Below are 26,587 nucleotides of genomic sequence, written 5' to 3' on the forward strand. Positions count from 1 at the left end.
TGGTGCCTCAAGTTATGATTACGCCTTCAGATGTCCATCTCTCCCATCTGCAAGTGAGCACCTGGAAGGCAGGGTGTAAGTTGCACCCAGCTCTGAGCCCCAGGGCTCAATACAAGGCCTGGCCCCGGAAAATGGACACAGTAGCTAACATTTATTCTGAACCAGGCCCTGGGCTAACCAATTCACAAACACAATCTCATTTAACCTCACAGTATTTCATAAGGTGAGAAGAAACCTCATACAGTTTTACAGATGAGAAAATGTAGGCTCAGGGAAGTCAAGTCCCCTACTCAGTGAGTGATTGGTGAATCCTGATGAGACTCCATGTCTGTCTTCCTTAGAGCTTTAGCCACTCCAGAGCCTCAACCTTAACCACTGCTCCTTAGGGGAAAGAAAGGAGGGGGAAAGGAGGAGAAATTGCCTCACTTGTCCCTTTCAGCTCTGACTGGGGCAGGGACATCAGTTAGCATCCAAATGGGTGAAACCCCGTCTCTATTAAAAATACAAAAAAAAAAAAAATTAGCCAGTCATGGTGGTGGGAGCCTGCAGTCCCAGCTACTTGGGAGGCTGAGGCAGGGGCACGTGAACCCAGGAGGTGGAGCTTGCAGTGAGCTGAGATCACGCCACTGCACTCCAGCCTGGGCGACAGAGTGAGACTCCGTCTCAGAAACAAACAAACAAACAAACAAAAACTGACAACAGCCTCACTAGGGCAGGGGGAAGACGAGCTGGTGGTAGAACAGAGAGATGCTTAGGAAGAGGCACCTTCAGGATCTGTCCACTTGCTGAATGAGGGAATGCCAAGGGAGTCAGATGGATCAATAGGTAGATAGTGTTGTTGTTGACAGAAATGTGAACTTTGAATCATCACTCTATCATCAGCATCACAGATAAAGAGAGCTAACTTCATGCCAGGCACTGTAGTAAGTACTCTTCATACATTGTCCCATTCAGACCTCATGGCAACCCTGTGAGAAAGTATTATTGTCCCCATTTTATATATGAGAAGATGGAAGTTTCCAAAGAATACCCTGTTGGGGACAGTTTACATAGAAAATTACCTGAACCTTGTAGAGAAATATTTTTACTGAACCCTTTTAACCATGAAATATGTTCCCTGGCTTCTCAGTCCTTCCCCTTAGCATAAAGAGATTGGGGTGGCCTGCAACCCCTACTTATTGCCCCATAGCCACAGTTCCAACATGGGCTGGGCCCATGTGGGACCGAGGGATTGAGGCAAGGAGAGACACTCCACAAAGTTCCAGTATCCCAGGGCCTGCCAGTCCCTGAGACACTCCCCAGCTACCTCTCCAGCAGGTTTAACAAGTCTGCCCACAAATAGAACAAATGGAATAGGCATCCAGGAGTTCTCCAGGGGGGCAGGCAGATCAGCATCCCCCTCACTGAAGTACCCAGATTTCTGACGGCCACCTGGGGCCTATATTCCACTGCTTCTGAAATCCCCCAACTTTCCCACCCTTCCTGCTCAAGGACTCACTCCGTGTCAGGATCACAGCCACTTGGAGCCCCCACCCCTGTAGAGCTATCAGAATTGGGTAAATGCAGCTGTTGTTTTGAAGGAGTAAGTTGAGGGCACTTAGCAAATCAACTTCCTAATGAATCTTTTCAGGTCTGGATGGGAGCTGGTCCGTTACTATGGAACTTGGCTTGATTTGGAAATTAATGTGGTAATTTACAGCCACTCTGCCAGGCAGGAAGATTAAAAGAGAGAGAGAGAGAGTGAGGGGAGACAGAATGAGGGGAGAGAGGCCTCTGCAGTGGCAGAACCTTAAGAGGCACCAGCTTAGTGCATGTCTGGAGGGCTAGACCACATGCACTGGGCACCGTGAAGGTGGTGTCAGCTAGGCTGGGCCCATGTGGGACAGAGGGATGGAAGCAAGGAGAGACACTCCACAAAGTAGATCAAAAATCAGTATCTCAGGCCCATTTGGGACTGTACCAGTGCAGGGAGTCCTCGCTTTAGAGATTGTGTGTGTGTGTGTGTGTGTGTGTGTGTGTGTGTGTGTGTGTGTCCCTAACTTCTGGGATTCATTTCCGAAAGTCAGCTTTTGCCATGACCATAAGTCACCGATATCATTATTTACTTTATGTTTTTCTTTAAATTTACTCAATTTGTATCTTAAACGAGTTTTATATCACTTCTATCATAAATGGAAAGCCAATATTACATACTAAGAAGAAAAAGTAAATGTAAAATTAATTGCACTGAAAATAAAACAAAATTACTAAATTCTAGAGCAGCCCTTGCCTGCCAAATGCTCTGAGTCTGAAACCTGCCCCTATTTTGGGAAAAGCATGTTAGAGAGGTGCTCAAGACATATTAGTGCAAAACTGAGGTGTGAGCACCTCTTGATGTAATCAGACAGATTGAAAGAAGAGTTAAATGGAAACTACTTTTGCACTTGTGAGTCAGTGCTGTGTAATGCTATGATCTTCGCATTTTATTTATTTAGCAAACATTTACATAGCACATACTATGTGTCAGAGGCTGTTCTAAAAACTTTTTAAAAATCAACTCATTTAATTCTTATACTAACCCTAGATAGTATAGCATTATTTCCATTTTAGGGAGAGGAGACTGAAGTATGGAGAGATTTGGTAGCTTGCTAGAAGTCACCTTAAACCATCTAAAATCCTGTACTGGTCATTCTACACTTCAATGGGCCAGAGTGGCCCAGAGCCCCTCCAGCCACTGTCTGGACCAGAGCTACAGACATATGGGAAGGAGCAGTATGCAGACAGGGAGTTCTAGATAACTGCAGACTGATTCCTCAGGGCCAAGGCCAGGCCAGACCAGTGGTGGCATCGCTGGGTGGACCCTGGCGGTCACTCCTCTTAAGCCCTCTGAGGCTCTCCATCTGACTGTAAGTCTGGGTTCTATGGGTGGTGGGCAAGAGACAGTTGGATGCTGATCCAAACAATAGTCTCCAGGAGAGAAGAGAGTGATTTTCTCGCTTTTTGTTTTGTGAAATTTTTTAAATATATAAAGAGATATAACACAAACCCCTAGAGATTCTGCTTTTCTCTTCTAACTGTTCTTGGCAGAAGTCTCCGAACAGTGCTCTAAGGATCAGACAGGGGCTGCCACTGGTAGTCAGGTGGCTGGGATCTGAGGAGACAGCAGGTTCCCTTGGCACAATGGCAGTGGTGGGTGCAGATGGAACAGTGTAGAGATGAGGGGCCCTCTTTGGAGGGAGGGCTTCTGTGACTAGCTGCCTCTGGAAGTGCAGGGAGGTGCCCTTGAGGGGCCTACTGTGGCAGTCCCTCCCTGGACAGCCCATGCCTTGTTCTGGTCTTGGGATGGAAGACATACTGCAATCCGAACTACAATCTGAATTGGGTGACAGGGGCCCTGTATCATTATTAGGATAATAAAAAAGTAGCAGAGGGAATATTTTGGAAATTAATAAAGCATTATTCTCTTTTGCATCCCCAAGTACATGAGTCTTGCCCCATCTAACTAGCATGAAGTTGAGAATCTCTCAAAAGGGATTCCAAGAGAAAGATAAAGTAATATTCAGCCTCTGACATTTAAAAAAAGGCCAGAATTTTATCCTGACCAGAACTAAAAGCAAGAGAGGAGGCTCAGAAGGAAGGTCAGATCATCAACAGAAAAAAAAATACATTCTTTCTGCAGATTTGAGTTGGAATGTGAGTTAAATTTGAAACCCTACTAAATAGCTCACATTGGGCATTTCCTTTGTGTCAGTTCATTTATTTGCCAAATGTTTTATATGTACAGCCTCTTTTAATCTTCTGAATAATCCTGAGGTTAGTGCTGTTACTATCCCCATTGTATGACTGAGGAAAGGGAGGAGATTAAGTAACTTGGCCAAGGTCAGACACCCAGGAGGCAGTAGATCAGGGATTTGAATCTTCAGGCATTTCTCTAGACTGTAGCAATTGTCCCCAAGAAGCTACTAGGCCCCATGGCCACCATGATTCATACCTCCCAAGAGCAACCAGAGCACATCTTAAGAGAGAATCTGTCTTGTCTTCAGATGTCAGAACCAAAATTCTCGGGCTCATGTCAGTCAAGGCCTCACCCAGGGACCCTCCATGGGCCTTCTCAGGAAAGGAGTAATGATTCTCAGCCAGCCCCTCACAGATGCCACAGCACATAAAGGTTGGAAAGGCCATTGGAAATACACGGGCCCCACACTAGAGGATGTGAACTGTGGAGGCATTTGCCTCTTCTGGTCTCCTTACACAGGCTAGGCATGTGCTACCACACAGATTCCAGATCTATCAATAATGCAGATCACATGTCCTCACCAGGATCTGGGGCTTTACTAGTTTTCTCAGCAGCCCAGTGAGCCCCTCAGCTTCCAGAGGCTCAAGGCACCAGCCCACCAGCCCACGTGAGGGTCGCTGGTCCCCTTTCTCCAGTTGGAAGCTCAAAAGTCAGGAAGGATCTGGCTTCCCCACTGGTCCCCTGGACATTGGAGAAGGTCTGCCTCACCTGTCTACCTTCCCAGCCTTGGACCCTTTAGACATAAGCCCAGCAGAGAGGGCATGAGGCCATGTTCATCCGCAGACCTCGCTCCCCTGGGGTATCCAGATCTCTCCCCTTAAGCCTGAGGCCTGGAGGCCAGCCTGGCTCTGCTAATGCTTGCCGCATGATCTTCAACAGGTGAGTTACCGTCTCTGCATCTCAGTTTCCAAATAAAGGGTTGGAGCCTCTGAGGTTTAGCAACCACTGTTCCCCCAGTCTGGAACACCCTTCCTCTCTACTTCTTAGACTGGCTAACTTCTAGGTCTTTCTAGACTCAACTCATCTTATCAGATCATTTAGGAGGCCTTTTTCCATCCTCCATCTTCCAACTCCTATCCTAAGCTGAATTGCGTTTCTCCTCTCTGCTCCAATAATTATTATTATGTTTTCGGTATAATGTCAAACTTTTATTAAGCACTTACTGTATGTCAGGCAGTGTTCTAAGACTTCACATATATGAATTTATTTACTTTTCACAACAAGTCCATAAGGTGGATGCTAGTAGTGTCCTTATTTTACTACAAAGGAAACTAAGAAATAGAGGCAAAATGAATTACCTGAGGTCATCTAGCAAGGAAGTGTCTGAGCTGGTATTTGAACTCCTCCATGGTTCTAAAGAATGATGAAAAAGTACGATGGGGCATGAGGGAAGCCACCTTTCCTGTCAGAGGTTCCATTGTGGTATGTGATCCCGTTCAGGGAGGCCCAGCCAAAGTTTATAGTCAAATCACTTCTTTTACAGCTTAGCAATGACCTCCAAACCCAACTTGCTGCTCCCAGCATCAGTAATTTTGTCTGTTGTCATTGTCACGATTACCCCAAATTCACCCCAGAATAGAAGTCCGAGCTGTGGAAGGACAAGGACATGGCATCATGAATCAGAAAATGGGGTAAGATCTGAGGCTGAGTGTGATTTGGGCAAGTTCCAGCTCCTCTCTGAGCTGTTCTCTCATCTGAAAAAAATGGAGATACAATACCTACCTCAGAGATTTGGGGAGGATGAAATAAAAGAACTGGTGTCTTGGGAAGCCAAGGTGGGAGGATCGCTTGAGACCAGGAGTTTGAGACCAGCCTTGACAACAGTGAGGCTCCATCTCTACAAAAAGTTTAAAATTAGCTGGGTGTAGTGGTGTGCATCTGCAGTCCTATCTACTCAGGAAGCTGAGACAGGAAGATTGCTTGAGCCCAGGAGTTTGGGTCTGCAGTGAGCCATGACCACACCTCTTAACTCCAGCCAGTGACAAAGTGAGATCCTGTCTCAAATATGTATGTGTGTGTGTATATATATGTATGTGTGTGTGTATATATATATGTGTGTGTGTGTATATATATATTATAGTCATACATATATATATATATATATATATATGTATACATATGGTGTCAAGGCCCTGAGCAATTAATTCAGCAAGAACCTGAATAGCAAGGACCTATTCAGCAAGGACCTACGGCTGTTGCTGTCAAAGAGGGAAAAATGTCCCTGCCCTCAGAGAGTTTACATTTGAAGATGGTATTTGCACTAGAGTTGTTCCCCAGATCAACTCTTCCTGAAGGAAACTGTCTCTATTCATGAAATCACTGTGTTCCCATCATATGAGAATCTCAGAATCCATATTGACAGGTACCCTACTGCCCTACTCACTGCTATCTCCTCTTCTCCTTCCTCTGTCCCCACCTAGGTAAATGAGAGGCCTCTGACAGCTCACCCTCTTCTCTGGGTATTCTTCCTCCTCTCTAAAATAAGGAGTTTGGGTTGGACAGATTTCCAAATCCTTCAAGGTGGCCATTGATTACTGAATGGTTTACTACTTCTTTAGATGGTGAGGGTGGCAGGTGGGCAGAAGGATAAACCAAGCATCTATGAGGACCTTAGGAGATTCCCAGGCATGTCCTCATTGAGCCTGAGGCACTAAATTTTACTCTCTGGCCACATCAACACCTTTAAATTCCCTTCACCTCCTACTGAGAATACATTCTGGTTCTCACCCATGTGCCTTTGTCTATGTTGTTTCCTTTGCCTGGGACACTTCCCTCCATTCCTTGCCTTCCTAGCCAGTCCCTATATTACCTTTAAAACTCAGAGCAGAAGTTGCCCCCTCCCTAGTCTGCTATTTTTGCATTCAGTGCATTAAAGTATAATCTCATCATTTGAATATCTGTTTTTCCCGCAACACTGAGGGCTCCTCAAGGACAGGTACTGTATTTTATAAGGTCGTGTCCCCAGCCCCTAGGTCAGCGCCTGGCTCATAGTAGGTGCTTAATTGGTATCAGTTAGATTGAATTGAATGTGATTTAAAGTCACCTGCTGCAGTACCCAATATCAGGAAATGGCAGAACTAGGACTTGAACCCAGGCCTGAAGACGCCAAGTCCAGCACGTATCTTCTCCCTGCAGCTGTCAGGAGAGGCAAAGAGAAGACCCACTGGCAGAGGAGGGGTGTTCAGACCAGTTGCTTTCATCAGCCTTCCACAAGATTGGAGGAATCTGTGGGAGGGGTCCTCAGGGCACACTGAGGCCTCTGTTTGTCCATGCTGCCCATGCTGTTTACTTCCCCTTTTCCCCTTCAGCCCAGCCCCTGGCTTTCTGGGGATTGAAGTCAAGCCGTACTTCCCCACTTCTGCTTCCTTTCCCCAGACCCCTGTAAATACAGTGGGAACCTGGCTTTCTGAATGAGATGGGAGGAGAAAAAGAGAGCCACCCACCCCCATGCCTGTCGAGTGCCCAGTTCATATTCCTGCTGCGACTGTATCTAAATTTGCAAATCGTCACCCCGTGCCCCACCATCATGTGTCATCTTTTATGCATGGCCACCTCTGCCGCGCTGCTCGGCCGGTTGCTATGCAACCAACGACAGCGCCGCGGGGGCCTGACATTAGTGAAAGCAAATTGACCAGAGGAGCCTTCATCCTGCATGCAAAGCAGCCAGGGCCTCACTCTTTGGAGAGGCTGCTGGAGCTGAGGCTGGACCACCTCTTTCTATGGGGGCCAGACCCTTTGGCTGCAGCCTCCCCAGCCTAAGCTGCAGACACTGGGAAACCTTAGTCCTCCTACTTCTGGAAAAGGCTGAAATCTGACCAGTGACAAGAGCTGCTTCCAAAGGGAAGTGTGGGCAAATGCATCTTCAGGCTCTAAAAATCTAAACCTCCAGTATGATGGACATTAGCTCCTGCAGCAAAAGAGTTACTATTCATTGAGCACTTACTATGTGCTGGGCACAATGTTTGGCACAAGAACAGTACGATGCAAAAAGCTCTAACTTCCTGGATCCCAGCCCAGCTCCACCATTACTCAGCTGTGTGTTGTGCATGCAAATTATTTATCAGGACAGAGCCAGCCACTGAAGGCTGTCCCTAGACATCTTGGAAAGCGATAAAAGGCTGGATAATGGGGAGGGGGAAGGAAGCCAGTACAGCAGCAGGAGTGAGAAGATGAGAGAAAAGAAGGAAGGGAGGATACTGCCTTGCACTCCTAGTATTGGAGGCCTCTGAGCCTCCTGTTGGGAAGAACAGAGGAAATTAGAAGCTGGTAGTTCTGGTCTCCCCTTCTGCACAACCCGCCATGGCCCCCACTCCCAGGTATGTGACCTACAATTTCCCACTCGAGCATGCATACACTATTTTGCACTGGGAGGTAGCAAGTTGTGCTGGAAAGAACAAGGCTTTGGAATTCATTAGAACTGACCTCAAATCCTGGTGCTCACCCTTCCTAGCTGTGTGACTATAGCCATTTACTTCTTTTTTTAAATTTCAGCTTCTCAGTCTGTACAATGGGCATGATGATACCTACCTTCACAGGGTTAAATGGCTGCCATATGTAAAGCACCTAACAGAAAATCAGTAAATGCTACTTCCCTCCCCCAAACTTCAATGGCTCCCAATTGTCAGAAGAACAAATCCGCTTCCTTAGACTGACATTGTTCCCACCCACCTCCCCAGCCTTGCCTTCCCAACTCCCTGCACCTCTGCACCTCTGCATCTTTCCTCTGGTGCAGCTTCTCCCTAGAAGCCCTTCCCCTTGCTCTTCATTTTCTAAAATCTAGTCCACCTCTAAGGACTATAAAACAAATTAAAACTAACTTCAGCAAGGAACCCTGCCCACCAGGCCATTCCCCAATCCACTTTCCAGTGGGAAAATTCTTGGAGCGGGGGATCAAGAAAAGACTCTCTTTTCTTGGGTGGTGAGTTTGAGAAGCTATCTCTCAAAGCTCAGTCGCCCATTGAGGAATGTCGTTCTGTGGCTCCTGTATCCTGAGGACTACGTCTCACCCTGAGGATGGGCATGGAGCAAGCTCACAAAACACAGCTCAGGGACTTACCAGACACCCAGCATTGTTCTAGGTGCCATAATACCACTGTGGTTTTGTCCAGGGTTTAACACTCACAACCACTAACTAATTCACAATTACTCATTAACATACCAACATAATCTTTACTTTTCATACAAATCAGTGAGGTAGACATTACCCCCACTTACTGAGGAAGAATGGAGGCTCAGAGAGGAAAGGCAACATGTACAAGACCACACAGTGGGTGGGTGCTGGTCAAACTGGGGCAGGTGTGCAGTTCTACGTGAAAAATGGGCTATGCGGTTGTAATGTGTGGACTTTGTCTACATCATCAGTCATCATTAACACTTCAAACTGGTTTACCCATTTAAAAAAACTCACAAGTTGAAACAAAAAACCACTTACCTGTTTCTCGTAAAGACAAAAAACCTTTACCAAACCCAGAGAGAAGCAGCTTGGGGAGTGCAAAGGGCACCAGCTCAGTTGGATGACCCTGGGCAAGTGACTCCATTCTCTTGAGCCAGGGATTCCTCTCTCTGAAATGGAAGACAAGGTTACCTACCACATTCTCAGGTCTATTTTGAAGGGCAAAAATGATACAGACAAAGAAAGTACTCAAGTATGGAGTTTTGATAGGTATTAATATACCCTTAGAAGTAGCATTCCTCCAAACCAGAGGTTGACAACCTGTTTCTGACAGATGCTTTTCTTTAATTATTCAATGTTGAGAACTGTGTTGTTGTTGTTTAAAAGGAGATGTGCCAATTGTATTGCCTTCATGTTGTATTGAAAAGCATTTCTTCATTATTTGGACTAATTTCCAAACAAATTAAAAACTGTTGTAGCAGTCAAGCTCTGACTGCTCCATCCATTAGATTCAGAAGATGGCAAATTCCTTAAAACACAGATACAAACAATTCTGGTAACACAATCTGATTTTATAATTAATTTTCTGCCTGGGAAGGCAAAAGTTCTCCTTCTCATGTTCTTTGTCCTCAAGTTCCCGACTGTTCTCCCACTTCTGGCAGACTCTTAATTAAGGAAAAGCAGATTCTGTTACCTGGAATTCTGTTGTGTTGCAGGTAAAAAGGCAAATTTTTTCTCAAATGTGCTTTGATCACAGAGATGGTCAGGATAGAGGCAGTCACGAAGATCTTCTGTGATCGGACCTTAGTGGTTCCTGTTTCTACCTTACTGCAGCCACTGTGAACACATCCTCATCAGAGTGTGGTCACTCAGCAAGCCAGCCCTTGTCAGCAGCCTGTAGAGGCCCCACAGTATGCCAGCCTGTGGAGGAAGATGTGTCCTGGGAGTGCTTAAGGTCTAATACATGTGAGACTGAGACAAGAAACATGTGAGCAACAGGTTGTTTAAATATCAAGAGAGTGGCGCACTGGGCCCCTTGTGAGATGATGAGCATATTAGATGGGTCCAGATTTAGTCTATGACTAGGTCAGGGCCAGGTTTATGACTCAATCTATAGCCAGGATCAGTCCTCAGCATGGACCAAGATCAGGGCTCAGGCTGTGACCAAGATTGAGGTTCAGAGAATGATCAGGTTTAGGGTTCAGTCTGTGGCCAGAATCAGAGCTCAGGCTGAGGCCAGGATCACTCAGTCTGTGGCCAAGACCAGGGCACTTAAGACCTGAGGTCCAGGACCAGTCTTTGGCCAAGACCAGGCTAAACTGTAGTCAGGATCATGGCTCAGTTTGTGATCATGGCAGTGGGATTCATGAACGACTTAGATCTAGTCTCTGCTCAAGTATTCCATAGTCTTCTCTGGGAAACATTAAATTGAAATTATTCTATCAACTATTAAGAGTTATGACAGAGGGAAACAGGAAAGAAGAACACAGGACAGTGCCTCCTTTGCAGTCTGGGGCTGGGGGTGGTGGATGTGCCAGGGAACACCTTCCAGAGAAGGTGATGCCAAAACTGTCCAGAAGGGCATGAGTAGCTTCATTTCAATGTCCTTTTTTTGTATCATCACCTTGAGCACGTGGCTTCATTCCCTTTGCAATTTTCCAATTTTCCCCAGCACTCTGCACTGGATGCAATGTGTGCTTTGAGGGACACTCTTGTACTTCCTCTGGACAAGATCCTGGGGAACACATCATTTTCTTCAACCTCAGTACCTCCTATTATTTTCTGTCTACCATATAGGCACTCTGTGTAGCCCTGACACTAACTCCCAGCCGCCTTTGTCTCTTGTTGGTTGCACTGAATTTCTATACAGGGATCCATTTACTCACTTGTACTACTCATCTTCATCTTGTAGTACAAAGCTATGAACATTTTCCCCATGTTTATTTATAGATCCAGTAGCTCACAGAGGAGCAGCATGGTAGAGAAAATCAGATGATGACATCAAGAAACCAGGGTAGGTGTGTGGCCTCAGGTAAGTCACACAGCCATTCAGAGCTTCAGTTTCTTCATCTAGTAAATGAAGCTGATATCTTCCCTGCCTTTATTGTAGGATGTTTTGGAGGCCCACTGAGAGAACTGATGTAAAATGCTCTAAAGATGAAGAGAATTACAACAAATCACTCATGGATGGAGGCAGAACAAGTTCAGCTCAGCTTCATGGGACTGGCCAGTTCTTACTGTGGTCCTAGGAGGTAGGATTCATGGTCTTCTGTGTCTGTTCACAGCCCAAGAACAGGAAGAAGGGACAGAACATGTTTCTGAGCTCCTGCACTGGGGCATGAACACAGTTTGCATTCCCGCTTATATGTCAATGTCTGTACCCACATATACAGTTTGTATTCACATTTATATGTCAATGTCTATACCCACATATGGGTCATAGGTTGGCTTCTTCAGAGCAGACCTTGACATGGAGATACATATGCAAGTGATTTATTTAAGGAAATGTTTCTAGGAGAAACCAGTGAGGGAGTAAAGAAAGCAGGACAGGAAGGAGAAGGAGCCAAATAAGGCTGTGTTCTCAGGCAAAAGTCCTGCAGAGGGTAGATTTGAGCCTGATCCTGAAGGGGAAGTCTGAAATATACATCATCCCAACTCAAGGCAAGGGAGCTGGGCTTTCACTCTCCCCCTTCCAACATCCAACAATTGTTGTAAACTCCCAGACACCTCTAGCTGTCTGTACTAATGGGCTAATGCTAATTCCCAGTAGCCTAAGAGCCATTCACCAAAGAAGAGCCAGGAGTGCTTTTGAAAGCATATTAAGTGAGGTGTGGGGACTTCTGTGGAGCACCAACATTTTCTGCTAGAATGTTCCTAGGTGTGCTGGTCTCCCCAGCCTCACTGGCTATCTCTTCTCAGTTTTGTTTAAGAGTTCCACTTCCTCTATACCTTAAATGATGGCATTTCACCTGCTTAAAACTCTTCCCTGGTTCCTGACTGCCTTGAGGATAAAGTACAAGTCCCTTCACATGATTAAGAAGTCCCTTCATCCTCTGCCCTCTGCTGACTACCCCCAAGCCTCATCTTTCACATGGCCCCTCACTCTACTGCAACCAGACAAGACCTTGCTGTTGTATAGGAATTGTAGAGGGGTCCCACAAAGCCTTAAAACTGCTCATAGACCACTGGAGAAGACAGAAATGTGACAGGCAAATCTAGAAGTTTACGGGAATAGAGATAAGGTACCTAACTTAGCCTGGGTTCAATGAAGACTTCCCATGGGGAACAAATGTGAAGGCAAAGCAGGAAGATAAGTGTAGAAAGAGTGATCCTGGCAGGATTTGCAGCACTGGGGAGAGGTGGGGAATTGTGAGCAGGCATGGAACAGAGTGGTCACAAAATAAATATTTGTGCAATGAATACATGAGTGAATAGCCACACAAGTTTTACACATTATGGGCTTTGGAATTTAAAAGCCTTGATTCCGGTCTCCTCCTAATTACTCACTGAGAAACCTCAGACAACTTATTTAACCACTCTGAACCTCAGTTTTCTCATTTGGAAAATGGGGCTAATGAAAATATCTGATATGAAACAATGGATGCAAAAATATTCTGTAAGCTGCAAAACCCTGTTCAAATATTGGCTTTCATTCATTTATTTATTCAAAGAATAGTTTTGAGTTCCTACTGTATTACAGGTCATGCGCTGGGAATTTGTCCCGGAAATAGGAACTAGATGGGGACTCTGTTTCCAAGTAGAGAGGAGAAAAGTTTAGGAGAGGAGGCAAGGAGACAAGGAGAGGAGAGAAGTTTAGCTCATAATGAGACATGTTGCCATAGTTACAATCTGGGAGCTGAGAGAGCTCAGTGAAGGTTTCACAAAGAAGGTAAAATTTGTATAAGTGTGCCCTGATGGCTAAGGGTGGGTGTGTCAAGTGAAGGAGGGGTCCAAGTAGAGAGAAAATATATGAAGACACAGGGGGTAAAAAAACAGTGTGTTTAGACCAGGGGGATTGGTCTGGATGGCATAGTGTATGTGGGATGGTGGTAGGATGTGAAAAGGAATGAGAAAGTCTTTTGAGGTCAAATCATAGAGAGGAAATTTGAATATTTTTCTATAGGTATTGGGGACCCTTTTTGGCATGAGAGTTGCAGTGGCACTGAGATGACAGGAATAAGTGAGCAAAGCCTGTTTGAGGTCTAGGAAGAAGAGGTGTGGTAACGGTACCTTAAGAACTGGAGAAACTTCTGGACCTTCACTGCCAATGCACAACCATCACCGCCACCAAGCTTCAGCAATCTCTCCCTTGGACAGCTACCTGCTGTGAAAATACTTGCTTAATGTAGTTCCTCTTGAAAATGTTGTTCCTGCATTATGACTTTCATTACACATTTCCCAATGAGCTTTGTTTGGTTATTTTACTTGTGTTTCTATTGACAGGGCATAGGATGAAACACCTTCTAATTACCTCTGAATATCTTTACTGGTTATCTATGGCTGTGTACAAACCATCCAAAACTCAGTGGCTTAACACACCCATTTACAGAGGTCATGATTCTGTAGGTTTGTATTTGGGCTATCTTCAGGCAGGCAGTTCCACTGCTGATCTTGGCTGGGCTCATTCACTTTGTGTATAGTTTTGAGTCAGTTGGGAAGCTCTGCTTTGGAGATAGGCTGGCTATCAACTCTGTGGTTATGGGTATCAACTGAGCCATGTGTTTTTTATCATCTAGGAGGGTAGTCTGGGCTTGAGCACATGATGGTAGTCTCAGTATTCCAAGAAGAGCAAGAGATGTAGCTGCAATGCCTCTTGAACTAGGCTTATAACTCACCCAGTGTCATTTATATTATTGGCCAAAGCAAGTCACAAAGCCAGCCTGAAATGCACTCCACCTCATGATGGGAGAATTTGCAAAGTGCTGTGGCAATTTTCCCAATATGCTTCAAGGTGTATAAACTTTCTTCCATTAATCCTGGCATATGCAAGGAGGAAAGAATGGAAAACATTCCAAAGAAAGTTTTTGTTATTGTTGTTATTTTCTATAACCATAACAAATACTGGAAGCATGATGATTCCCTATTGTTTACACATTATCATTATTATTTATTGAGCACCTCATATGTGCCAGAGACCAGTCAAATAACAATGAAAAAGATATACACAGTACTTGTTCCCATGGGGCTTACAGTCTGATGGAGAAAATATATTAAACAAGTAATTCCAATAACTTGATAAGTATTATGTCTAAAAATTTTATAGCTTTATTAATTTTTCCTTTATGTTTTTGTCTTTGGAGTCCTGAGTTTTAAAGGCTTCTCTGGATTAAATAAATATTAATTTCTATAAAAGGGCTTTTGAAAGTTGCACCCCTAGCAGGAAGCTCTTTTACCTTGGGATGCCCAGTGAGCAAACCTGGGCCCAGCCAGAAATTTAAGAACAAAGGAGAGAAACCCCAGTTCATCTCCAGACCTAGGCTTTCACCCTTTCTGGAAAAAACCAATACTGTGCTCTTTTCACATTGTGTCCTCACCCCAGGTGATCACCCTTCTACAGAGGTTAAAGGCCCTACTCCATCAGCTTAGGCCTGATATTGACACCCCAATTCCAGGCTGTTTTCTGTTGCCCAAGCTCCTGTTGGGCCCCTACCACAGGTGCTTTAATGTACAACCTGATGGATATTTAGAGCTCTCAGAAGCATTTGACTGGACTTCATTCCAGTATATACATACATACATACATACATACATACATACATACATACATAGCGATGATAGATAGATAGATAGATAGATAGATAGATAGATAGATAGATAGATAGATAGATGATAGATATAGATAGATGATAATAGTTTTCTTTTTTTTCCATTTAACATTGTATTCGGAATCTTGCCCTATGGTGTTAAACAAACCCACCCTGGGGGATATATCATGGATAAATGTATATTAAAATATCCTAAAAGAGAAGCTGTTTGTCCAAGCATCTCTCCTTGGAGGGCCTCTCTACCCCATCCACCCATTGCAACTGGGTCAGCTCGGCACTGGGCATAGGGGTAAGCCCCACTCTCTCTTACTCACTCCCTCCACTTTTCTGGGCATTGGGTTAATATTTCCTTGAATCACAGTGGTAAGATATGAGACATACATTTGGGCATTGGTGGCCTGCTGTGGTGTGGGGAAGTGCAATCCTAATGAGCTAGGGGAAAGGCGCATGCCCAGCAGCCCAGCTCAGCTCCCTGGGGTTCTTGGTGCTAGGCATTGGAATGAAAACCTCAGTTTAGAGTAAAGCATGTCTGCGCGCTCCAGTTGATTTGCTAGTCCCCACCCTGTGCAGTAATATCCTTAGAAACATTGACAGGAGAAAGGGAAGAAAAGGAGGCTTCACCATAATGGGATTCAGCTGGTCTTGGGTCCCTCAATCATAGCACCATCTAGTAGCAAACTGGTCTTACAAATATTTCCAACATTCAGCATGGAATGCTGTAAGGGGGAAGCCCACTTCATTCATTTATCTGTTCAATAAATATTGTCTCTTATGTGTGGCGCTCTTCTAGATTCTGGGGTTGCAACAGTAACTGAAACAGACCTAAATCTATGCCCTCCGAGAGTTTGCATTCTGGTGAGGGGCTGAACATAAAATGTGTAAGAAGAAAAACAAGGGAAGCAATAAGCAATGTCTTGGGTGGTAGCTTTAGATTGGGTGGTCAAAGAAGGCCTCATGGAGAAAGTGACATCTGAGCAAAAACTTGGGGGAGGTGAAGGAGAGAAGGGTGCAGGAAAGCAACACAAAAATAAACAGCAGAAATGAAGAAGGGGGCAGAGGTATATCACATGTGAGCCCAGAGAAGAACACCTAAGCCTATTTAAGGAATCTTCCCAGGGAGATGATTGCTGAGAGGGTACTTCAGGGATGAGTGGAAATTTGGCCAGCAGACACAGGCACAAGGGCATTCTAGCAGAGAAAAAAAGTGTGTGCAAAAATACAATGAAGCCATGAAACATGTCTCAGCTGTGAACCATGAAACCCAGACCCAGAGGGGTTCAGCAACTCAGTCAAGGCCACTCAGTAATAACAATAAAACAAACTAATATTAACAATGATGTGTATAATCAACACTTGGTGAGCCCTTACTGTATGTCAGACCCCATGAAATTCTTTCTTTATGTTGACTGCCTTAATCATCACAACAACCCCATGAAGTACTGTGCACAATCCCATTTTGCTAAAGGAGTTGAGAACTCACCCAAGTTTACACAGCTTTTAAGTGCTAGAGCCAAGCTTTGGTGCCAGCAGGCTGGTTTCAAAAGCCACACACTGGGACCCAGGACTGCATCCTTCTCCACCAGGCTGCTTCACTGACTTCTAAAGTTCCTTTAGTCCAGCCCCGCACCTTTGGACTGGTAAGAGATGAATGGCCTCATTTGACACACTAGGCCCTTGAGGCCCAGGAGATAAGAGCCCAGTCAAGTTCACACAGGTAACGATAAAGACCATTTCCATATTCCAGGGAATGTGACCATCTGGGGATCCATCTCACAGGAGACTTTCTTTTCTTTAAAGATGAAGCTCCTAGAGTTCATCCAGTCCAGTATTTCTCAGTCTTTTCTTAACACCACAAATATACTATGTACCTGTTTATGTAATACACATTTATTGTTTTACACATTAAAATAAGAGTACACTCTTTCCACCCTCCCAAGAACCACTTTTTACCCTCTTGAGGGCAACATCACCTGCTTTGAGAATGCATGATCTAATCTAGCCCTGTCATTTTATAGTTGAAGAGACTGATGCCAGAGAGGTGGAGGGAATGCCTCAAGGTCACTTAACTCAGACCAAATAGAATCAAGAGCAGATCCCAGGGCTCCTGGCTCCTCCACTCCACACTGCCTCAAGTATAATCATGGAAGCCTTTGCTACCCCTTCCCCTAATCTGACACTCTCTGCCTTTCCTTCTGCATCTAAGGGCTCCATCCAAATTCAGACCCCCAACTTTCTAAGAGTAAGATGGTCAGCAACTAAGGAGCCAGGTACCTCCTAGACACCCCGGGTTAATAGTCAGGGACCAGCCCATCAGGAGATCCAAAGGGGCACCTGGGCTTCCTTCACAGAAGGCTGGCATGAAGGGACAAGCATTGCTCAGCTCAGGTCTTCACCATAGGGCCAACAGAGATCACACTGACAGTTTCCTTAGAGGTTCAGCTCCATCACCTTTTCCAAATGCAAGACAAGCATAAAACTACTTCAGCAATGGAAAAAAAATCAACTTGGAAATAATTAAACAGCAAGGCAGCCACCCATAATGATATTCTGCAGCACACTTTGGGGACAGTTTGCTGCAAAAGCGCCCGAGCACTCCGGTTGTTTAATTAACATTGAAACGGCAGTTCCACAAGAACTAAAAACCCTGTTAATTTATGTGTCTCTTAATGATGCTCATTTAAATACTGTCAACTTTCCATTGGTTTAATATTCATGATTTTGCGTCATTAAAACACAACGATCAGCTTGGGGTGCGGGGGGAGACTTTCTTAAACACCCAGAAACACAAACCGTCTGAAGACAACAATTTCTAAATCCATACCTTTCCAACCCTCCCCGCAAAAGTTCAGCCCCTTAGAGAAGTTGTAAACCTGCTGGAGTGCTTTCAGAGCTGTGGACTGTGCAAGAGGTTGAGTGTAGTTTTATCATTTACTGCCCACTCACCTTTAAAACCAAGCTGGGCCTGATCTCATTGTCAGCAGATACAGAGCTGGGGAGCTCAGCTGGCAAATGCAGGCACTTGATATGCACCAAGAGACCAGGCTCCACACCCAAGGGTGTTCAGAAGTTTTTAATCATGGCTAGGAGACACAAGTTACCCTGAAATATATTTCTGACAGAGAGGGACATTTAGGGCTGGTCAGGGTAAGATACTAATGAGGGGAGGAGGCATAGGGCTCAGAAGGGGGTGGGAATACCCTTATAGGGAACACGCAGGAAGTCAATGCAAGGCCCAAACAGGAGCTACACACACCATGCAAACTGTGGTGAGCCCACACAGATAACCCACAGACTCAACACCCACAGGTACTGGCAGAGACACAAGCCGACTCTCTGTCAGAGCATGGCCAGTAAGAATTCTGTCAATCCAATTCAGGATTACTGAACTCTGACTACAGTCCACACACTATGATGGGCTCTGAAGATTCCAACCTGATCAAGTGGGGAAGACAAACAAGTTAACAGGCAATGACCAAGAGAAGAGAAAAGAGCCAGGGCAGATGATAGTAGGAGGATGTGGGAAGCTATTTAGAGGAAGGGGCACAAAGGTGGGAAGTGGGACTGGCAACAGAACAGGCGGACACGTGGTAGACACTTTCTAAATGTTAGTCCCACCCTCTTCTCAAGCTCTGTCTCTGCAGAACCACTTCACAATACTGGATCCTGCTTTCACTGAGCTCAAAACCAAGTCCCAGGGTAAGTCAAATATCAGCATCTCCTTATTTATACATCCTTCCCAGACAGATCATGATAAGTGCCATGGGAGTTGACTGGAGCAGAGGTCAGAGCACTGACCTCAACTCTACCTAGAGCAGGGTTCCACTTACTACTCATATGACCCTGAGCAAAATCGGTTAACCAGTAAATGTCCGAGTTTCTCCTTTGCAAAATTGAGATAATAGCACCCAATATTATTTGTATTAAAAATATCTGTTAATAGGTGTGTCTTCTCCACTAGAATGTGAGCTATAATATCTGATTTATCTCCATATTTTTAGGGCATGGCACATAGCAGGGACCAGAGGTATGCTGAGCTGAACTGAACAGCTGACCTCACAGGGATGCCTTAATGAATTAATAAAATGAAAGATATAAAGAGCACTTAGTAGGTCCTCAATAAATTATTTTTGGCAAGGGAGAGGATTACGGAAGGCTTCGAGAAGTTTGAATTTAAAGTAGACCTTAAAGGGTAGTGTAATGTGAGCCAAAGAGAAAAACATCTTAAGTTGAAAGAATAGAGTACACAAAGAACCAGGCCAGGAAAGCCCAGCCCCACCTGTCTCCCTCTCCCCACACCTGGCTCCACCTATATACCTCCTGCTGATCATACCATTCTCTTTCACAACTTCTTTTCTGTCCTCAGAATATTATATTCTCCCTCAATCACCCAGCTAACTCCTATTGGGCTTCAAGAACTGGTTCAGGAGTCACCTGTTCCAGGAAGCCTCCCTGCCCTCCTTTAGGTTCCCTTTCTGGGATCCTGAAACTTCTCTGTCTCAGCCGCAGCACACCATGTTGTCATCACTGCTATGTGCCTGTCTCCCAACTTGGAAGACAAAGTCTGGTTCTGAATCATCACTGCATGCCCAACGCCCAGCACAGAGCCTGGCACAGAAAAGTTTTTGCCTTATAGATGGTATGATGGTTAATTTTATATATCAGCTTGACTGGGCCAAAGGTGCCCAGATTAAATATTATTTCTAGGCATTTCTGTGAGAATGTTTTTGGGTGAGATTAGCATTTGCATCATTAGACTCAGTGAAGTAGACTGCTCTCATCAATGTGGGTGGGCCTCATCCGATCCACTGAGAGCCTAAATAGAATGAAAAGCAGAAAAAGGGAAGATTCATCCCCTTCCTGCCTGCATATCTGTGCTAGGACATCAGTCATCTCCTGCCTTTGGACTGAGATATACATAATGGCTCCCCTCATTCTCAGGCCTTTGGGCTTGGACCAGAATCACACCACTGGCATTCTTGAGTCTTCAGTTTGCAGAGACAGATCATGGGACTTCTCAGTTTCCATAACTGCATGATGACTCCTTATTTTGTGTGTGTATATGTGTGCATGTGTATTTCACTGGTTCTGGATTCACTGGAGAACCTGACTAGTACAGATGACAAGCAAACAGTCTGGGTTTGAACAGCAATTCAAGAACATTGCCCTCTGTACACTGTACACAGACAGCTGTCTGTAGTGGCCACCTGGGCCAAGTCACAAAGGCCTGGGCCAAGCCAGCTTCTTCCTCTTCCTTCCTCCACCCACCATCCAGTCATCATGCACTAGAAGGTCATTAGTCTAATAAGATTCTATTCCAGTCTGGATGTGGTGGCTCACGTCTGTAATCCCAACACTTTGGGAGGCTGAGGTAGGAGGATTGCTTGAGCTCAGGAGTTTGAAACCAGCCAGGGCAACATAGCAAGACTCCATCTCTAATGAAAAAAAAAATTAAAATTATCATATGGGCATGGTGGCATGTGCCTGAAGTCCCAGCTGTTCAGGAGGCTGAAGTGGGAGGATTGCTTTAGCCCAGGAGATCAAGGCTGCAGTGCTGTGATGCAATCACGGCACTCCAGCCTGGGTGACAGAGTGAGACATTGTCTCAAAAAAAAAAAAAAGATTCCATTCCATCCGTCCCTCCACCTCTCTGTCTCTTGATCCCTATTCCCACTGCCCCCTACTCAGGCCCCACCAACTCTCTAGCCTTTTTATTACTTGCCTTGGGTTGCCACTGTCTCCTGCAATCCATTCTCTATGCCTAACCACATAAATTGAGCTAACAATCAGGACTCTTCCTCAGAGGAGATATAACAACCTGACCTGGAAGGCCCTCTGGATACCAGCACTGCCAACCCCTCTGCCGGTCCAGCCTCATCTCTCCACCCTGATGGCTCCAGCCATTCCCTCTCTTATCTCCAAACCTCCCACCTGCTATTTCCTCCACCTGGAAAACACTTTCTCCTCCTCATCCCCCTTTCCCAGATCACTTCTTTTCAGCTTTCAAGTCTAAGGTGCCAGTGTCACCTTCTCTAGAAAGCCTTTCCTGACCCTCCTCAGGCTGAATTAGGCCTCCTCCTGCCTTCACTCGGTCTCTCCCTTAGACAATGGACATTTGTCAGATAAGAGGGAAGGTGCTCGGGTAGTCAGAGATAACATTGTGGGGAGGGAGAGAGTCTCCAGTAGGGCTTGCTCTTTTCTGGTTTATTTTACTCTTGGGGCAGCTCTAAGAAGGTCTCCCCCACCAGCACATCTGTGGGGACTTGGCCAGAGTGGGTGAAGCTGCTGGAGCAACAGCAGCTTCCTCCTGACCTTCTGCCTCTGCATGTTCCCCTGACTCACTGATGGAAAACATCCACCCTTCTGGGCCTCTTCCTTATTTCATCACTTTAATAAATTAAGAACAGATTGAAAAGCAGAAAACATTGTCTCCCGGGCCCCAGCACCCACATTCCAACTCAATTACATGATTTGTTTTTGGGTCTGGCCAGACGCAGAAGCAACTGAGATGCAGCAGAAAGAGTGAGACAAAGAGGTGAGATCAAGAGACCAGAGAAAGTAATTCCTATCCCAGCTCAGTCACTGACCAGTGGCCTCAGGCAAATCCATTCACCTCCCTGAGCCTCCCCATCTCTCCTTATCTGGAAAGTGAGTGGTAACAATGACACATGCTTCACAGGGTGATGGGAGCATGTCAAATGAAGTAGAGGATATAAAACTGCTATGTAAATTGTCAAGTCCTAGACCACGTGAGAAATAGATTATTTCTATTCTACCAATTCTCTTGGTCAGAGATGACATGGCACCAGGCCCTCCCTCCCTTCTAATAGCTTAGTCTTGGAACTTTGAACAAAACTCTTGTATTCCTTGAGGTCAGATCTTCATTCTCTCACTCCTTGTAGCAACTAACACTGGAAAGAGGGACTCTGTGGATCTTCAGTTATATATGCAACAGTTGTCGTTGTTGTTGGTGGTGGTGTTGCTGCTGCTGCTGCTGCTGCTGCTGTTTTCAGTTGACAGCCAGAGTGCTCTATTGGAAAACAAAAAAAAAGAGTATAGGTCTGGATGCGAGCTGTGAGACATAGTTTTGTTCCTGGCTGCACCACTTGATTTCTTGCCAATTGCATCATTTCTGTGGCTTGCAGTTTCAGTTTCTCCATGTATAAAATGAGGGCAGAGGGGCAATGAGTTAATCATCCTTATCTTGATAACCTCATAGGGTGGCAATTAAGATCGAATTAGACCTTTTATAAGCTGTAAAGTTCTATACAAATATAAACTGTTGTTAAAAGAATATTAATAATTCAATTATTGTAATAGTTACTAAATAGTGATGATGAGGAAAAATATCTTAGCTAGATGATAATGTCCCCTCTTCTTCAGGGAGGAGAATTGCACAACCTCTTTTGGTCAGCCCTTCTGAGTTCCCTACAATTTACAACATTGGAAGTCCTTCCTTTCTCTAACCCAATTATCTCATGCTTTAGGTTAAGCCAGTCTCATTTTCTGCTCTTAGTTGGAAAGGAGAATAAGGTCACCATATTCTTTAAGACAACTTTCACCCAATTTAAGGCCTTTCATAAGTCACACTTCTTCCTTCTGACATGCTATCTGAAGACAGCATGTTGGAGGAAAGAGATGAATTCTGTTTTGGAAAGGTGAGTTAGAGGTGCATGTAGAACTTTCAACAGGGATACACAATAGACTAGCTGGAAATAAAGTCAGGAGTTCAAGGGAGTGCTCTGTGCTGAAAATAGTGGTTCAGGCGGCCTCAGAATAAAAGTGGCACCCGAATAGCTTCAGTCTCATTAAACTACTCTCTATTTCCTGGCCAAGTCATTCACTTTCATGCCTTCCTGCCTTTGCTCCTGCTGTTTTTTCTGCCTAGAATGTCCTTTCTCCCTTATCAACTCTGAAATCCTATGCATCACCTCCAGAGAGGGTCTAACATTGCTAAAGGTTTCACTCACCCCATAGCAAAGTATTTCAAGGTATCTTCTATGTTTCTGTGTTTGCTTTACTAGCTCTTTCCTACTTAGTCCTCACAACACCACTATCAGATAAGTATCATTTTTCTCACTTTACGGATGAGAAAATAACTCATCCATCTAAAGCTACACAGCTAGTTAGAGGTAGAACTAGGATTCAAACCCAGATCTTCAGATAACAGTTAGTCCAAAGATTTCAGTGCAACAAGATTCTGCCAACTACTCCAACAGCAAGAGATGTACGTTGGGAAAGGACTAGCTTCCAATTCTGAAGTCAAATTCAGATATCAGCCTTACCTGGGCTGGGTGCAGTGGCTCATGCCTTTAATTCCAGCACTTTGGGAGGCTGAGGCAGGTGGATCACTTGAGGTCAGGAGTTCAAGATCAGCCTGGCCAACGTGGTGAAACCTCTCTCTACTAAAAACACAAAAATTAGCCAGGCATGGCAGCACATGCCTGTAATCCCAGTTCCTCGGAAGGCTGAGGCAGGAGAATCGTTGAACCCGGGAGGCGGAAGTTGCAGTGAGCTGAGATTGTGCCACAGCACTCCAGCCTGGGCGACAGAGCGAGACTCCATTTCAAAAAAAAAAAAAAAAAAGTAGATATCAGCCTTGTCTGAATTTTGGACAGAGTCACTCTGGTTTGGGATTGAGTTGACCAGGTAAATCAGCTGGTGAGCAGCCAGGCTCTCCTTTGAGGTTTGGAGCTCTCCGTGGTACTGACACAACTTCCATCTGCCAGCCCTGAAAGCTTGATGCATTCGCTCCATAGCAACTGTGTGGGTTTGTCAGGGACAGGACCGTGGCCATTTCCCAAACATATCCCCCATCTCCAAACTTTAATCTTGTTTATTCCTATGCCAGATACTGCTCCTTGTTGTACCTGCTGAATTTCTCATCATACTTCAAGACTTGGCTCCCATTGGCTTCCCAATATGAAGAAATCTTCTTTGGCTTTCTTAGAAAGAGTTCTTAGCTACCTACCATGTGTCAGGCACAGTGGTGATGACTTTCATAGGCAATACCACTTATTACATACCAACATACTATATAATTTATTATTTGTGATATTCATTATTTATTGTCTCTGGGGAGCCCTTCTGGAAGTGCCTGCATTAGGAAGAATCCTGAACAATATGATAGAAATTTTGGACTCTGTTCTAAAAATTATAAGTAGCAGGATAATCAGGGACAAATTCCAGGACTTAGGACCTTGGCCTCTTTATTGCTGTCCTCCACTCTATCAAACCTTACTGTAACCAGCCCTGGGAATCCCACACCATCAAGACTTAGGTATAGGAGCATACTTTATTTAAAAGATCCTCATTTCCTGCCTCTTTGTGAAATTCCGCTTGTAGGCAAGGTGGTAACAAGGGTAGGGTTTGCCTTCTCATGTAAAACAACCCCACTCCCCCCAAAAAAACAGACAAAATATATAAAACAATGGTTTTTAAAACAGTGGATATGAAGCAACAATGGTTTGTATTGTTTCTCAAAGAACAATAGTCATCTTTGAGAAACAAGCAAGGTGGGCCCTACCATTGCCCCCAACTTACTGCTTGAGAATTTCCATGCCTCAGCACAGGGAGGGAGGATCTGGTGGACTCCCTGAATAGTAGAGTCAGAGCTGAGAGTCCCAGGAGAGCAAAACTACTAGAGTTCACAGGAAAGGGTACTGGAGAGAAAGACAGCACTGCACAAAGAGAGAATTCTAGAAATCTGTGACAGTTTCCCAGTGAACAATGAGTGCATATGTGTGAAGAAACTACATGAGGCCAGGGAAAGACCCGTCAGAGTCCAGTACTCACACAGGATCAGAAACAGTATCTGTTCCTACCAGCCAACTTGAAAAAAAAATCATAATTCGCAGGGCATTGGGTAGAGCACTCAGAAGAATCTTCTCTTAGTTATGGGGAATAATTTGCTCTAGACCACAAGCTGCTCTGATCCTGCCTAACAGATCTTAAAATAAAGACCCAAAAGGATCAAAATGTTTCCAAGTAACTTAACTGCATCCCAGAACAAATCTCAAGAATACTTAAAGAAATATAAAAATATCCAGCTCCAAACAAGGTAAAATTCACAATGTCTGGAATTCAGTCAAAAACTACAAAGCATGTAAAAATGCAGAAAAATAGGACCCACATTGAGAAGACGCATATTCATTAGGAACTGACACAGATATTAGAATTAGGAAATATAGACAATAAATAGTTATGACTGTATTCTCTCTGTTGAAAAAATTAAGTAGAGTCATGGAAGACATAAATAAGGATCAAAATTAAACTTCCAGAAGTGAAAACTGCAATGTCTGAGAGAAAAATTCAATGGAGTAAATTAAAGACAGACTAGACCTTGCAAAAAAATAGTAAAGTTGAAAAAAATCGAAACTATTCAAAATGAGACACAGGAAAAAAAGAAATTTTAAAATGAAAAGAACATCAGTGATCTACAGGACAACCTCAAGAAACCTAATATATGTATAATGGCAGTCCCTGAAGGAGTAGCGATGCAGAAAAATTATTTGAAGAAATAATGGCCGCAAATTTTTCCAACTTTGATGAGAACTATAAACTCATAGATGCAAGAAGCTCAATGAACCCCAAATACAAGAAAAATTAAGAAAATTACCCCAAGGCACATCACAATCCAATTTCTCAAAATCTGTAATAAAAGAAAAATCTTAAAAGCAGTCATAGAGAAAAGAAATGTTATAAAAAGAGAAACAAAGATAAGGTGAAAAAGGAGTTCTAAAGAGAAATAATGAAGCCAGGAGACAATGGAGCAGCATCTTTAAAGTATAAAAAGAAATCTGCTCAACCTAGAATCTTATACCCAATGAAAATATCTTTCAAAGGTGAAGACAAAATAACTCTTTTTCTGACATATAAAAGCCAAAATAATTCACCACCAGCAGAATAGCACTATAAAAAAATTGAAGGAAGTCCTTCAGTCAGAAGGAAAATGAAACCAAATGGAAATATAAATCCTCACAATGGAATGAAGAATACCAGATTTATAAGATTTTAAAAATATGATTTAAATCTCTTTAAAGGATAGTTGATTGTTTAAATGAAAATAATAACAATGTTTTATGAAGTTTACAAGTAAAATGTATGACTAAATTAGCATAAAGGCAAGGAGGAAAAAAGGGAGGTACACTATTTTAAGGTTTTATACTACATGTGAAGTGCTGCAACAACGCTTGAAAGCAGACTGCAATGTTAAAGATGTATACTATAAACCCTAAGGTAACCATTAAAATTACACACCAAGGAGCTGATAAGACAACAAAAGAAATAAAATAAGAGTCACTTAAAAAACTATCCAAAAGCTACTGCCCAAAAAATGATAGACTGAAACCTAACCACATCAATAATTACATTAAATGTAAATGGCTTCCGTCTCCCTTAGCCTGTTGAAATGAACTTCTGAAAAGTACTCATCCCTCATTATCTGGATTCAGCCCTCAAAGCCATCCTCTGAGATAGACAGATCACAGGTTATTGTCTCCTACCACAGATTAGGAAACTAGGACCACCTGAGGAAAAGTGACTTGCTCAGGTCAACAGTAAATTAGCAAATGAATCCTCAGTCTTCCCAATCCTAAGAAGAAGCTGCTTCAACCAAGCCCTTAAATAGACTCTTCACTTCAGAAACTCATTTATTCC

General features: G+C 44.1%; 3 long non-coding RNA genes across 8 annotated transcripts in view, besides 1 other annotated feature; 1 reads left to right on the forward strand and 2 right to left on the reverse strand.

Moving 5' to 3' along the window:
- The window catches only part of LOC105378711 (uncharacterized), a 52,673-nt gene extending 38,547 nt beyond the window's left edge, over nucleotides 1-14,126 (reverse strand). The window contains exons 1-4 of the long non-coding RNA XR_947315.4: nucleotides 13,398-14,126; nucleotides 9,207-9,337; nucleotides 5,498-5,612; nucleotides 5,074-5,363 (exon numbers count right to left, since the gene is read on the reverse strand). This is a non-coding gene — a long non-coding RNA (uncharacterized LOC105378711). The remainder of the gene's footprint in view (nucleotides 1-5,073; nucleotides 5,364-5,497; nucleotides 5,613-9,206; nucleotides 9,338-13,397) is intronic.
- On the forward strand, nucleotides 13,010-13,572 carry LOC105378710 (uncharacterized). The gene is made up of 2 exons (XR_947314.1): nucleotides 13,010-13,056; nucleotides 13,291-13,572. It is a non-coding gene; the product is annotated as an uncharacterized LOC105378710 (long non-coding RNA).
- A 7,175-nt stretch (nucleotides 14,127-21,301) lies between the features above and the next one.
- Nucleotides 21,302-26,587, reverse strand: part of LINC02808 (long intergenic non-protein coding RNA 2808) — a 55,193-nt gene continuing 49,907 nt past the window's right edge. For all 6 annotated transcript variants that reach the window (XR_947322.3, XR_947318.3, XR_947317.3 and 3 more), the window contains one exon: nucleotides 21,302-21,959. This is a non-coding gene — a long non-coding RNA (long intergenic non-protein coding RNA 2808). The remainder of the gene's footprint in view (nucleotides 21,960-26,587) is intronic.
- Nucleotides 23,514-23,714: a silencer, noted in NCBI's record as "peak211 fragment used in MPRA reporter construct". NCBI's record gives its function as "represses an SCP1 promoter by STARR-seq MPRAs in K562 erythroleukemia cells {active_cell/tissue: K562}" and the evidence as "EXISTENCE:reporter gene assay evidence [ECO:0000049][PMID:32103011]".

Source organism: Homo sapiens, chromosome 1 (assembly GCF_000001405.40).
Source record: "Homo sapiens chromosome 1, GRCh38.p14 Primary Assembly".
Classification (NCBI taxonomy): Eukaryota; Metazoa; Chordata; class Mammalia; order Primates; family Hominidae; genus Homo; species Homo sapiens.